This window comes from Homo sapiens, chromosome 20, assembly GCF_000001405.40.
Source record: "Homo sapiens chromosome 20, GRCh38.p14 Primary Assembly".
Lineage (NCBI taxonomy): Eukaryota > Metazoa > Chordata > Mammalia > Primates > Hominidae > Homo > Homo sapiens.
The window spans coordinates 4,730,507-4,745,921 of NC_000020.11; the positions used below are offsets into that span (position 1 = coordinate 4,730,507).

The following is a 15,415-nucleotide window of genomic DNA, read 5'->3' on the forward strand; positions in this document are numbered from 1 at the left end:
TGTCCATGTTGGTCAGCCTAGTCTCGAACTCCGGACCTCAGGTGACCCGCCTGCCTCGGCCTCCCAAAGGCTGGGATCACAGGCGTGAGCCACCCCGCTGAGTCCCAGATTCTACATTTCTAGCAAGTGTCACTGCCTCCTCCAAGATGCCCTGTACCCTAAACTGAACTTCATCCCTCCATCCGCCCCTCCCGCCCTCCCATCCGTCCTGGGGATTCCCAGATCTTGTTTTAATGCAAACCCTTTTGTGAGAAAGCATTGCTTTCTTAAACAATGCAAATTGTTTTGACTCCAACAGGTTTGGCTATAATCTGTCGAAGGAAATTGGCAGAAGGCCAGAGAGGAACTAGAGGAAGCTGGAAGCAGGCAGTTCAAGGCCACATGAACTCACACAGCTGCCCTCCCTTGATGGTGGGAGGTGGGTGGTGGGGAGGGAGAGGGGAGGTACTGGTTGCGGGGAGGAGACCTTCCATACACCCCGTGTCCAAGGGAGAATTACATGCACAGGCTTATCAGAGGTGACACCAGCATCCAGCAGGGAAGGGTGTTTTGCAACCAGGGGCTCCATGCTCAAAAAAATAACATTCAGCACCAAGGAGAGGGATTTTCAAGAACGAAGCAGAGGGTAAGGTGCAGGCAGGGTCCCGGCTAGGTGCAAGCCATGTCGGTTGTGGTGTGCTGGAATTTCGAAATCTGTAATTAAGATTCTAATTTTTTTAATTGGCTGTTTTGGTTCGGGGCTACTTAGCAATCAAGAACAAAATGGAGGCGCTTATGACGTCTCTTAAATATCGTTTATTCCTGTCGTGCCCAAGCCAAATCATGTCATCACCTCTGATTTCCTGGGGCAAACAAATAGAGGAAGCAGGAAGCAAAGGGCTGGTGGGTTTTCCTTAGCTTTGGGCCCACTTGGGATAGCCAAACAGTGGAAGCCTCCACCCAAAGTTAACGGGCTTTCTAGGCTCATTTGCACAAGAGCAGACTCCAAGAAGTTTCTTCTGGAATTTCAAATGTGATGTGGTCTGCAAATCTGCTCCCTGTCAGCTAAGAAGATGTTGACCTGTGCAGATGGCTGTTTCCAGAAGTCGAGCTGTCAGACTCTTTCCAAGGGCAGGACCCAGGCCTCCCCCATCTGTCTGTGGAGCCCTCATAAGCAGCATCCTGCCTTAGAGATGGGTTTTACTTAGAATTACAGAACATTTTTCCTCTGGGCATTATCTCAGCTCCTAACTTATGTTTAACATTTGAGCCAATGTCCTTCTTTGCCTCATCTTGGGCATTTTGTGGATTTGTTCATGCTTCCACTCGACAAACATGCATTCAATTCCTGCCATGAGTCTGTCTGCTCCGTGCGGGAGCTGTAATGGTGGGCAACAGAGGCAACGTGCCTGCTGTTAGGTGTTTTGTTCTGGTGGCACACGCATGCATGTATAACCAGAGGTGTGCTAGTGTACCAGCTCTATGCCCGAGTAGGGGTGAGGGAGCCCTAATTTGTACTATTTGCCAATTTCTATGATGTAAATGGTGACCCAGCCAATTTCAAGTTACCCACACTCACTGAATGTGGAGTTAATAGAGATGTGTATGTTCATCTCTCAGAAGCCTGTTTGACCTGCTCCAGCACAATTAATTTAATTTAACTGTTTACTTTGTAACCTTTACACATATTAATTCACTCCTATAAACAATATCATAGCTCTTCCAAATCAGAGCTGAAGTCATCTCAACCGGGAGGCTATTGATGGATTGGCGATGGTCCTCCAGGTCGCTCTCCCTTCCATGCAGACACCTAGGTGAAAGCCAAGCCCCAGGTAGGCACAGGAAGAGCCGAGGCCAGAGCGGAAGAGAAATGGCACATGGAGCTGCCACTGGAGTTGAGGATTATTTAGCAGTAAATCTTTTTTGATTTTCTATTGCATGCCTGGCAGTCCACTGGAATCTGCAGATGCCACAATGAATGAGTCACTGCCACTGCCTTCAAGGTGCTCACAGTCTGATGCAGAAAGGATAATGGCCATGCAGTATGGGGAAGTGTTGTGTTAGACATGGGAATTAGCAAGAAAGGTTTGCTAGAGAAGGGAAGTCTGAAAGGATGGATGGAGGCATCCAGGTGGAGAAGATGGGAAAGATGTAGAATCACTGCAAAAAAGAAAACAAGACTATGCTGCATTCAAGGAGCTGCAAGCGGTCCAGTACAGTGGGGATGTGGGCACGGATGGAGGAGAGCGACAAGATGAGGCCAGAGAATGAAAGGAGCAAGATCTGCAAAGATCCCTCTGGCTTGCCGTATGTTCTCTTGGGAAGCACTTCGCAAACCATAACGGGCACACAAATTCCCTGGGATCTTGGCAAAATGCAGCTTCTGCTTCGTCAGGTTTGGGATGGACCAGATTCTACATTTCTAACAAGCTCCCTGGTTATGTTGATGCTGCTGGTCCATGGACTATCGTTTGTATAGTAAGGGTGTAACGAAGAGGAGGGCACTGAAGGGTGTTAGGAAGGTGGATTCCACGATCAGGCTTGCATTTCTAAAGATGACTCTAGGTGCTGGGGGCAGGATGGGCTGCAGGCAGCCACAGCTGCAGGAGCAATGGAAGAGAAAAAGAAGGTTAAGAGTTAAGTCTAGGTTAGGTGCGGTGGCTCATGCCTCTTATCCAAACACTTTGGGAGGCTAAGACGGAAGGACCACTTTACCCAGCAGTTCGAGACCAGCCTGGGCAACATGGCGAGACCCTGTCTCTACAAGAAATAAAAACTCAGCCAGGCGTGGTGATATGCACCTGTAGTCCCAGCTACTTGGAAAGCTGAAATGGGAGGATCGCTTGAGCCCAGGAGGTCAAGGCTGCAGTGAGCCATGATCCTGCTGTTGCACTCCAGCCTGGGCAACAGAGCAAGACCCTTCTCAAAAAAAAAAGAATGAGTTAAATCTGGCATGTTGATGAGCTTGAGGGATCCCATTTGGGTTCCGCTTTTTGTCAGGCTTCTTGTCCTCACCACCTGTCTCACTTGTTTCTCCTCCCAAGGTGGATGTGGAGCCCCCAGGATTCTTCCTACTCCAGGACATCTTCTCAGGCCTCTGTGTGCCAGCTTGTGCAGCATGACTTGGCTTTACAGAATTGGGCAAAGTCATGCTTAATGTCACTCAGTCCTGTTCCAGAGTGAAGTCATTTATTTTAGGGGAAGATCTATTTCAGTAGCTTTATTTTTTTATGTAGTAATTTTTATTGTTTTTCCTTTTCAATAAAATAAATACTTGCTATGCAGTTTCTCCTGAAATTATAAATTAACTGTTCAGGGTTAGCAAAGCATGAGTTATTCTATTGAATCTATAAAACATTCAGCTTTAAAAGAAACAGATATATATTTTTTTCTCATTACACATTATTATATAACCTTTAAGGATAATAAAGCTGTGTTCAGATTTAAAATTTGAGAAATCTAGCTATACCAAGTTTTTAAAAGTGCATTAATCAAGGCTAAATTTTAAATATTGATATATACATATTTCATAATCTGAATCTGTTTAACATGAACACTAGCCTTTCTTTCTGTTATTTTTTTTTTTTCCCTACAAGATGGCTTGACTTTGCAGAACAGTGGTTCTCAACTACTGGTGACTTTGCCTCCCTGGGAATATTTGGAAATATCTGATGTAATTTTTGTTGTCATCGGGGCGGAGGAGATAATGGCATTCACTGAGTAGAACCTAAGGATGCTGCTAAACATCCTACAATGCATAGAATGGAACCCCATAACAAAGGAATATGCAGCCCAAATGTCAACCATGCCAAGGTTAAGAAACCCTGTTGTAAAGTGCAACTCAATTCCCATTTTATGAATAGCCTCTCTGTTCAATGTAATTCTGAAAACACAGACTTGACTAATTTGCATATACTGCTTAAAAGAATGTTTAACCTAACCAATGTCATTACCAAAAGCAATGGTTGACTTTAAGTATCAAGTGATACTTCCAGAATGATTAAACCACAAAGTCAGCTTAGAAAGATAGAAATTGGGACATATTATTTATATACCATTTAATTGTTCTTGAATCTGCTCTACCAGTCTAATCTATTAATATGGAAAGTTAATTAGAACTGTTTTGAGTTAGCTAAGCACATAGTTTCCTTTGAACACTTTTCTGAACTATGACAAAAATTAAATTATATATAAAGCACCTGGGAAATAGAAAAGCACTCTACAAATGTTCTCAAAATGTTTGTTGCAACATGTGAAAAGTGAAGAGCTTTACCTACTTGTCCAAACTTGTCATGAACATGTGTTTGGACAGTTAAATTAGTTTTTATTTGTTCTCTCTTTTTTACAATGATCTCTTATACATGACTTTTACAAATATCAGTGCATATATATAGTATGTGTGATACAAGAGAAAGCAAATGTGTTTTTCACACATGTAAAGTATCAAGATGGCATATGAGTATTCTAATTGGGAGCCAACTTTTTTTCAAATTATTCTAAGTTTTGGGGGTTTTATGGTTTTTTGTTTGTTTGTTTTTTATTTTTTGAGACGGAGTCTCACTCTGTCGCCCAGGCTGGAGTTGCAGTGGCATGACCTTGGCTCATAGCAACCTCCGTCTCTCGGGTTCAAGCAATTCTCCTGCCTCAGCCTCCCAAGTAGCTGGGATTACAGGCACCCGCCACCATGCCTGGCTAATTTTTTGTATTTTTAGAGAGACAGGGTTTCACCATGTTGGCCAGGTTGGTCTCGATCTCCTGACCTCAGGTGATCCACCCACCTCGGCCTCCCAAAGTGCTGGGATTATAGTCATGAGCCGCCATGGCCAGTCTTTTTTTTTTTGACAGGATCTCATTCTATCATCCAGGCTGGAGTGCAGTGGCATGATCATGGTTCAATGTAGCCTCGACCTCCCAGGATCAAGCGATCTTCCCGCGTCAGCCTCCTGACTAACTGGGACCACAGACATGCACCACCATGCCCAGATAATTTTTTGTATTTTTAGTAAAGACAGGGTTTCACCATGTTGCCCAGGTTGGTCTCGACCTCCTGGGCTCAAGCGATCCGCCTGCCCCAGCCTTCCAAATTACTGGGATTACAAGGCGTGAGCCACTGTGCCCAGCCTATTCTAAGGTTAAGTAGAGAAAGTTTTCAGTACTTTATTAATCATTTATCTCCACATCCACATCCTATATATTTTTCATGGTCAATAAACTGATTCAAATGACTTAAGTTATCCCACCATTTAAAGAGAAAAGTCTCTATAATAACTTGAAATCATGGTGTTATTTTAATTTCACCAATGACTACTTTTCTCAGAAGTTCTAGCTCTTCCTTTGACACACAGAAAATAGCTTTTTATCTCACTGGGATCTGAATTCGAAGTTATGTTCTTCCTCACAAACAAAATATAATCAGTTTTATGTTCTCCCCAGATGCCATCAGATTGGACTTCGCTGCAAGTTGATATTAGATAATAGGTTTCTTCTGGAGGAGCCTCTTCCATGGGAATTCCTAATTCAGCTTTTAGATGCCTCTGTGCTACTCAACTTATGTCAATGACATCATTTCTCTCAAGCTTGTCTGGATTACTTAATGGATGACTACAACCAAGTATTGGTGAAACTGGCTCGAAAGGTAATTTCAGCATCTGATCTCTGCTGTCACTGTAGCTCATTTTGGTGTTGAGTAAGAAGACACTAAGAGCTTGATGCAATAATCCATTCCCAATGTTTTCATTCTCGTGACAATTCTTCTTGGTCTCAGTTCCAATATTACTGTCATTTTCATCAATAAGAATACACTTCTCTGTGGTGCACAATGGTTCACACCTGTCATCCCAACATTTTGAGAGGCCAAAGTGGGAGGATCGTTTGAGGCCAGGAGTTTGTGACCAGCCTGGGCAACATAGCGAGATCCTGTCTCTGCAAAAATTTTAAAAATTCATTGAGTGTGGTGGTGCATGCCTGTAATCTCAGCTAATCAGGAAACTGAGGCAGAAGGATCACTTGAGCCCAGGAGGTCAAGGCTGCAGTGAACCATGATCACACCACTGCACTCTGGCCTGGGTCACAGGGCAAGACCCTGACTCTAAAAAATAAATAAATAATGAATTTGTAAAAAGAATACACTGGTCTATGAGGAGTTGAACTTGTTGCTCTTGGAGATGTCCAATGCCTGTCTGAGGCATGGTCACAGGATGTCTGATCTGCCCTAAAAGACAGGCCTGGCACAAGGGTGGCATCAGTGCTGGGCTCAGGTGTGCCTTGGGAGCTTTATAAATGGCTGCCCCTGGAGTATATGGTCAAGACCTAAAGAGTGGCCATGTGTGTTTTCTAATCAAGCTTTACTGAATTTTAGAGGGGAATCATGTATAATGAGATTGGCAAGGGGAATTATGTATAATGAGATTTGCAAAAATCCTAGAACGTCCTGCTCTGGAAAGTCCACAGTCTACAGTGATAGGGAAACATCAGAGGTGCAAAAGGAACTTGGGGATTTGCTATGGGGACTCAAAGGCAGACACATAGCTGGTCCTAGGACATTAGAAATGAGACTTGGGCAGAGTCCAGGAAAAAGTGAGAGAATGGAGCAGAAAAAGGTTCCCTGATAAACCTGCACTGGGCTGTGTGGCATGGGAAGAACTTGTTATCTCTTTCTAGCTCTGTAAGCCCAAGGCTTTCTATGAGCTTTTAGGCCTTGATATTTGTATCATTTTATGAGTCTATTAGGCTCAAAAACGTCTTTGTTAAGCATTTACAAAACATTTGTTTGAAAACTATTCTGCGTGAAAACATGTTGAATTCGGCGAAAGAAAACAGTACGTCATCAAGTGTTTTGGCACAAACCTTACTTTTAGCTTTTAGGGCTGGATATTTGTATCTTTCTGTGAGTGCCCACTGGGCCCAAAAATGTCTTTTCTGAGCTTCTATGAAACGTGTGTTTGAAACTGTTCTACGTGAAAACATGTTGAATTCGGTGAAAGAAAACAGAACATCATCAAGGTTTTTGGCAGAAACCAGGATTTTATCTTTTAGGGCTGGATATTTGGGCAACATAGTGGGACCTCATCTCTACAAAAAATAAAAATACATTAGCTGGGTGTGGTGGCATATGCCTGTAGTCCCAGCTAATCAGAAGGCTGAGGCAGGAGGATTGCTTGAGCCCAGGAATTTGAGGCTGCAGTGAACTATGATTGCACCACTGCAGTCCACACTGGGTTACAGAGCAGAAGAAAATAAGTGAAGTCTAACATCGAGATTGTAGGCCGGGCGTGGTGGCTCACATCTGTAATCCCAGCACTTTGGGAGGCCAAGGTTGGTGGATCACTTGAGGGCAGGAGTTCGAGACAAGCCTGTCCAACATGGTGAAACCCCATAAAAATACAAAAATACAAAAAATTAGCTGGGTGTAGTGGCACACACCTGTAATTTCAGCTACTCCGGAGGCTGAGGCAGGAGAATCACTTGAATCTGGGAGGTGGAGGTTGCAGTGAGCCGAGATCACACCACTGCACTCCAGCCTGGGCAACAGAGCAAGTCTCAGTCTCAATTAAATAAATAAATAAATAAGTAAATAAATAAATAAATAAATAATAAAAATAAAATGAAGATTGTAAATAAACTTGATCAGGTCCAAAGAAAATAGAGTCTTCCTTCATCTTCGCTTATACTTAGATAGCAGGCCGTCTCTATGTGAGTTACTCATTGCCTGAGGCTGGATTCACCAAGAACTAGATGCCAAGTCAAGGATTCATGTACAAGTGGTTTATTCGGGAGGTGATCCCTGCAAATGCTGCAAGTGGGGAATGGAAAAAGGGAAGGGAAGGTAGCCCAAAAAGGCTGTGTTAGCATGTTTATTGCATGGGCAACCGGAGCTTCACTCTGCTTGGGAGGCCCCTGGATGCCAGAGTAGAACATATTCCTCAGGGTTATGCTGCCTGCAGGGCGAGGGAGCTGGGGAATTTATACACCAAGATCTGTCCATCATTGGTTAAGGACAGCTCCCAAAGGCTATACTTCCCTAATAGTTCCAACCTGCTGAGTGCATAGGCTGAGTGGGCTTCCGAGCATGCTGGTCCCATCTCCTAATGATGAGAGGTGGAGGCACAGGAGAAGGTAAACAAATGGCAAAGACACTTAAATACATGAGAAAATGAGTCCAACCTGAACTTTGACTTTTCTGGGTGGCCCACTCATCCCACTAACTACCATAACTTCATTTCGTCTGCTTTTTGCAAAGAACAGACAATTCCAAACAGCCAAGCCTAACAAGTAGCTCATCTTAGCTTGTGGATTCAGAGCACTGGTGGCCTCTCCACCTCCAATTGACACCAGAAAACATATAAATACCTCTAAACATGCCTTGGGTATTTGTTTTTCTAATTGCAAATATTATACCATAACTTAGTTTGAAGGCTTTGTAAAGAATATGCCAGAAACATCTAATATTAGCCCTAAAAACTAGGGCAATCTTTTTTTTAACAGAAGAGTGTTCATATAAACATCAAAAGATGTGATGAGAGTAGTTTCAACTTCTAATCATAGAAATTATAGGGCTATTTCATGAAAGAGGTGCTTTATCAGCTCATCTTGAGTGAATGTTAAAGATGAAGATATGGCTAGTATCTCCAGAGTCTACTGTCTCAGAGAGGTAGCCCAAAGTTGTAAGACTGAGTGCCTTGAGGTAGGGAACAGGAAGCAACAGGGTCTCCAGGTTCACTGAGGAGTACTGACCTGCAATGCGATTCCTACATCAGCAAAGGTCTTCCTTCCATCGTTAGAGGACTCCTGGATTTGCTATGCCTATCCTGATGGCTTCCTACATGAGACCATCCATTCACACTTGGCCCTTACCCAGGCCTGAAATTCTCCCCAGTTGCACTCCACCCACTTATGTCTATCACTTAGCTCAAAGCCAGTAAAGCTCATCTCTGAACTAGCAAAGATTCCCTTTATCCCATCAAAATGTCCTTAACATCTATCTTGAGGTCATGCAGCATGATCTTACTTTGCTGGCATTCTTTCCTTCTTCTGTGGATTCCCAAGCAGAGTACAGATGTACAGATTCCTTGGGGGATAAGAGCTGGAATTTCAGCTTCTTTTTTTTTTTTTTTTTTTTGAGACGGAGTCTCGTCTGTTGCCAGGCTGGAGTGCGGTGGTGCAATCTCTGCTCACTGCAACCTCCGACTCCCTGGTTCAAGCTATTCTCCTGCCTCAGCCTCCCAGGCAGCTGAATTACAGGCACACACCACCACGCCCAGCTAATTTTTGTATTTTTAGTAGAGACAGGGTTTCACCATGTTGGCCAGGACGGTCTCGATCTCCTGACCTCATGATTTACCTGCCTTGGCCTCCCAAAGTGCTGGGATTACAGGCATGAGCCACCGCACCCGGCCTCACCTTCTTTTATATCCCACACAGCACCCAGCACAGAGCACAAAGCTAAGCGCATCGATCCAGCGACTGACTGACTGAATAAATGAATACATGCTATCTTGCTTGTAGAAGCCCAGATTCCTCCTTCTTACGACTCCCACACCCACTTAGGAGATTCTATTATGTCTTAAAAGAAGTTACATCTCCATTAGTGTCAAAGCAACATTATATAAGTGGCTCAACATGATCAGGCATGAATTTCTTTGTTTTCCCACTCACCTGAAAGCCCAAAAACAATCCAGGTGGTGGTAAACACTTCTGATCCTTCAAAGAAAACGGAAGAAAGCGATCCCTACCGTCTATTTTGAATCTACCGTTTTTTGTTTTTGAGTGTCTTTTAAATCTATTCAAAATCCTTTAAGGGCATTTCACCATGCATGGGAGAAGGTCATGGATCCTCAACAAATTGCAAGAGGCCTTTCACAGGCTAGACTCTGCCTTGTTCTCCAAGCTCACCTTCCATAATCCTGATGTGCTCCATATTGCCAGACTCTTTCAAGTCCTTCCCCGCCCTGCGGAGAATCCCTACTCACACCTCAGGACCAGCTCAGACATGGTCTCCAGGAGACCTTTTCTAAGATCCTATGTGAGGTAACTAGCCCCCTTGGCACCTTGTGACATAATTATTCACTTCCATGTACATGTCCCGTAGTGAACTATGAGCACCTCCAGACCTTACCCTGCGTTTGGTCGCCTTGCTCTCCTCTCTGCAGCTGGCACCCAATCTTTCCAGGCTGTCTCTAGGGACTCGAGCCCTTGGGATGGGGTCCTCAATGCTTTTCCACCTGCCTGGCTTCTAAATTCCACTAAGATCCTGTCCCATTCTCTTGGAAACACTAGAACTTACTCTGACATGCCCTATGGAAGTTATTTCTCCACTGCTGTTCAAACCCACTCCCAGACCTGGCCTTCCCTGAGGAGAGCGTCTCAGCCAAATCCAACTGCCTCTAGCTCAAGTTTCCTTGCGGGGGGCCCGCTGGCCTCATCCTGTTAGGTCGTCTTAGAGCCACAGGAGAATCAATGTTCCAGTGTCAGCAGGAAGAATCAATGTTCCAGTGTCAGCCAGCAGGGGGCAGTGTGAAAATACACACACCAGGCCCTTTTTTCAAAGGGTCTCGGCTTCCCTGAGGGTGTCTATCTGTGCCTCTATGAAGCATGGCTTGGGTCATTCCTCCAGTCCCATGGCCAGGTGGATCCTTCGTTTACCTTTCATTTCTATTAAATGAGAACATTCTCAATTCACTAACTGGATTGTTGGAAAGGCAGCAAGCTCTGCTAGATAGTTCTAAATATTTGCATCAAATATGGACCAGAAATTGTGAATCTGTCTTTCAACGCCCTCGGATCTGAGTCAGCAAGGCTGCCACGTGCAAAAGTAGGAACGTTAAATACTTGAAGCTGGGAGAGAATAAGTGGGTTTCTAATCCTCTCTGGTGCATTCAGTTCTAGAAAGTGGTTCTTTGTATTCTACTGGAACATTTCTATGTATGGTTTTTTTGTTGTTTGTTTGTTTGTTTTTTGAGACAGAGTCTCCCTCTGTTGCTCAGGCTGGAGCACAGTGGCACAATTTCAGCTCACCACAACCTCTGTCTCCCGGGTTCAAGGAATTCTCCTGCCTGAGCCTCCCGAGTAGCTGAGATTACAGGCACGTGCCACCACGCCCAGCTAATTTTTGTATTTTTGGTAGAGGCAGGGTTTCACTATGTTGGCCAGGCTGGTGTATGTATGTTTTAAACATGCTTTAAAACAAAATTTCTTTTTAGAGATGGGATCTTGCTATGTTGCCCAGGCTGGAGTGCAGTGGCTATTCACAGGTGTGATCATGGCGCACTGAAGCCTAGAACTACTAGGCTCAAGCAATCCTCCCACCCTAGCCTCCCACGTAATTGAGACTACAGGTATACACCACCATGCCCGGCCTTAAACATGCTTTTAAATGTGTCATAAATCACATTTCTCTGATGAATAAAAAGAATTATCTAATGTTGAGAAAGAGTCAGTGTTTAATCATTTACCTCACAGTGCAGATTTCTTAATAAATTCTGTTATTGAATCTACAGAATTTAACATTATGTTATTTTTGGCCCTGAAGGCATAACTTCAAGCCATTCTGGATACTGAATGTGTTGCTGACATACACATTAGCAAATCACTCAGAAGCATATACACTTTATTGCATTATCAGTAACATGAAGAAATATTTCTATATCATGAGAAAGAGCACTTTCTTCTTGATATGTGTGTAATCCCTTGGTCTTGGGAAGCTAAGGCACAGCTTACAGAGGGATTTTGTATACCCCACTCATTACGTAGCTTAAATCAGGCTGGGTAAACATGTAAACCAAATGCAAATCATCAATCTACATATGTTTAAGAAATAATATAGACATACTGCTGAAGCATGCCTCCCAGGGAGTTCTGGACTTTAAACAGCATCTTATAAATCACCAGCAAGAACAATCAATTAATATTTTGGCTGAGGGTCTTTACCAGACTCCCAAATACCACTGGAGTTAAGCACTGAACCAACACAGGCCAGCTGCAAATAAGATTCATTGCTATGGTTTGGATATTTGGCCTCCCCTCCAAAGACAATATCATGTTGAAATTTCATCCCCAATGTCAGAGGTAGGGCCCACTGGGAGGTTTGGGTCATGGGAGTATATCTCTCATGAATGGCTTGCTGCCATCCTCATGGGAGTGAGTTCTCACTCTTAGTTCCCTCAAGAGCTAGTTGTTGAAGAGTGTAGAACCTCCTCCTCCCTCCTCTTGCCTCCTCTCTCCCCATGTGATCTGCCCACAGTGGTTCACCTTTCCCTTCCACCATGAGTAGAAGCAGCCGGAGGCCCTCATCAGAAGCAGGTATTGGTCCTATGCTTTTTGTACAGTCTGCAGAACCATGAACCAAGTAAACCTATTTTCTTTATACATTACCAAGCCTTAAGTATTCTTTTATAACAACACAAGCAGGCTAAGATAACCCCATCTATGGTCAGTCACCAAGGCCTCTTCTCTCATATGAGTTTTGTACCTTACTCTATTTAATAAAGTTTGTTCTCATGGGGATATGCATTAACAATTCTGATACGTGCATACTGAAATCGAAAATTAATTAAACAAATGGCGGATGGTAGAAGCCAGGTTGCTCACTGTTGGAATGCAAGTTTACAGATAAGCCAGGGGAGGAGGCTAGAATGATCCACTTGGTAACAGAGCGGAGTTGGAGGCATCAGTATGAACTCATGTCTAGCTTAATACAGGGGCAGAAGATTCCATATAGAAATATGTATAGATATGTGATATTCACAGGTTAGTATACACATGAATATTTCCTTGCTCTGTCATCTGAGAAGGACTAAAAGAAACAGCACCCCAGTAGCAAAAAGCATACCTAGCACCCAGACCTTGGTTTCTAATAACACTCTCCAGTGAAAGGTACCAGGGCTCCTTGGAGAAATGGCCAATTCTATGCCTCTGACAGAAATATGCAAGAGGAGCCTGGAGTATTTTGTAGTGCCAGAAAATAAGGAGGCACTCAAAAACAATCAAAAAACAAATGCATATTAATGGAGCTACATCAAAGAAACACAGGAGCCAACTGAGAGTGCTCCCAACGGCCAAAGCTGGAACAATTTGAGCAACAAAATAAAGCAGTGCTGGATTATCATTCAAAGTATAAAATAAATACCCCTGAGTCCTCACTATTGCAAATAAATGATTGAATAAATTAATAAATGGGGGAGGAGAGACAAGTCCCTTGGACTGATAAATTTCAAATAATTTATGCAGATACTCTGCCTCAAGGGGGTGAGGCATAACTCCTGACTCATTAAATGTGGAGTAAGCATAGTGACTTCCTTCCTAAGAGGACAGTATGGAATGGGGGAGAAGAGTAACCTTAGAGTGGAGGACCCTGACACATACGACCTCAGCCAGGTGATGAAGGTCAACATCAGTGGTGATCAATCATGTTGATCATATGTACTTCTGATGTGATGTGAGGAAAGCAGCACTTTACTTCTGTGGACTTCCTCTCAAAAACTCATAACCCCAGTCAAGTCAAGAGAAAAACATTAGACAAATTTAATAAATAGGCATTTGGGAAAATATCTGAGCGGTACTTCTCAAAACTATCAAGGTCACCAAAAACAAGGAAAGTCTAAGAAACTGTCACAGCTAGAGGAGCCCAAGGAGACACGATGATCATGTATCAGTGCTGGTTCATTCCTTCTAACAAATGTGCCCTACTCGTGCAAGATGTTAACAAAGGGAACATTGGCCATGGGTATATGGGAACACCCTGTACTATCTTCTCAATTTTTCTGTAAGTTTGAAACAGTTCTAAACAAAAAAAAGTCTTTTAAAAATACAATCAAGGCCAGGTGCAGTGACTCAGGCCTGTAATCCCAACACTGTGGGAGGACCACTTGAGCCCAAGGAGTTTTAGGCCAGCCTGGGCAATGGGGGGAGACCCTGTCTCTACAAAAAATTTTAAAAATTAATCAGGTATTGTGGTGTATATCTGTGGTCCCAACTACTCAGGAGGCTGAGGTGGGAGGATTGCTGGGGTCCAGGAGGCCAAGGCTGCAGTGAGCCATGATCGTACCACTGCACTCCAGCCTGGGTAACAGAGCAAGACCCTGTCTCAAAAACAAAAACAAAGAATCTATAAATAAATGAAAAGATTAATATCCACAAAAGGACAAATATTGTATGATTCCATTTATATGAGGTAGCTCGAATAGGCAAATTCTTAAAGACAGTAAATAGAATAGAAGTTACAAGGGGCTGGGAGGGGGAGGAATTAGAGCTTATTGTTTAATGCACTGCACTCCAGCCTGAGCCAAAAAGTGAGACCCTATGTGAAAAAAATAAATAAATACATAAAAATACAATCAACAGAAGAAAAGAAAGTATTTACAATATATAACAGATAACAGATTCCTATATAGACTGTATAAAAAACTTCCAGAATCAATGAGGAAGAGAAATAACCTGATTTTAAAAATTGGCAAAGGATGTGAAAAGGCAATACATGGAAGAAATACAAGTGTCCAAAAAACATAAGAAAAAATACTTAATCTCACTAATAATTGGAGAAATGCACATTCCATTAAAATACCAGTAAGACTGATTTCTCTTCTCACTTTAAAGGTCTGGTGATATCCAATGTTAGCAAGGGTGTGAAGAAACAATGAAAATGTATCCATACAATACTTGTGTAATTAAGTATAAATTGACAAGGGTGAATTTTTAAGGAAACTAAGAGAAAAAGAAAGGCGTGATCCCTTTGCCCCATTGTAAAGGAAACTATGACTCAAAAGTAACGGGTGGCTATCTAAATGCCAATAAGCACATAAGAAGGTGCCTAATCTCACTCATCATCAGTTAAATGCAAATTAAAACTATACCCAGATGCTACTATGTACCAGGATGACTGACACCAACATTGATGAGGATGTAGCACAACTACAGCTCCCATGCACTATTGGTGGGATTGGCACAGCTCACTTTGGAAAACAACTGGGCAGTATCTATTCAAACTAAACATGCTCATTTTATGGCCCACCAATTCTACTTCTCAGTAAATACTCAACAGACGTGAGAGCTTATGGCTCCCAAATGATACATGCAAAAATGTTCATATCCACCTTATTCACAATAGCTACAAGTAACTCAAATGTCCATGGATAGAAGAGTAGCTAAATGGTGGCATAGCCATACAATGGACTACTACACAGCAACCAAAAAGAAGAGACTATTACCACACACGGCATGAGTGAATCTCATGGGTTGATTGCTAAGCAAAAATGTCATGCAAAAAATGATATATTGTACAGCTCCATGTCTATGAGGTTTAAGGGTAGGCAGAGCTAATCTAAGGTGATAGAAACTAGAATAGTGGTTTCCTTGGGAAGGAGGTACAGGCAGATGATATGGCCTTGGAGGAGGCTTGAGAGCCCAGTGGGAAGATGAAATATTCTATGTCTGCATCTGGCTG

General features: G+C 43.0%; 1 long non-coding RNA gene and 1 pseudogene across 3 annotated transcripts; both read right to left on the bottom strand.

Annotated features, from left to right (window-relative positions):
• Positions 1–775: 775 nt before the first annotated feature.
• PRNT (prion locus lncRNA, testis expressed) lies at positions 776–10,162 on the bottom strand. 3 transcript variants are annotated; one of them, NR_024269.1, is made up of 2 exons: positions 10,094–10,162; positions 776–2,579 (listed from the first exon to the last, which is right to left on the bottom strand). It is a non-coding gene; the product is annotated as a prion locus lncRNA, testis expressed (long non-coding RNA). The 3 variants fall into 3 exon arrangements; NR_024268.1 differs by having other exon boundaries at positions 9,871–10,162; NR_024267.1 differs by having other exon boundaries at positions 9,634–10,162.
• On the bottom strand, positions 5,103–5,788 carry IDI1P3 (IDI1 pseudogene 3; annotated as a pseudogene).
• Positions 10,163–15,415: the final 5,253 nt, after the last annotated feature.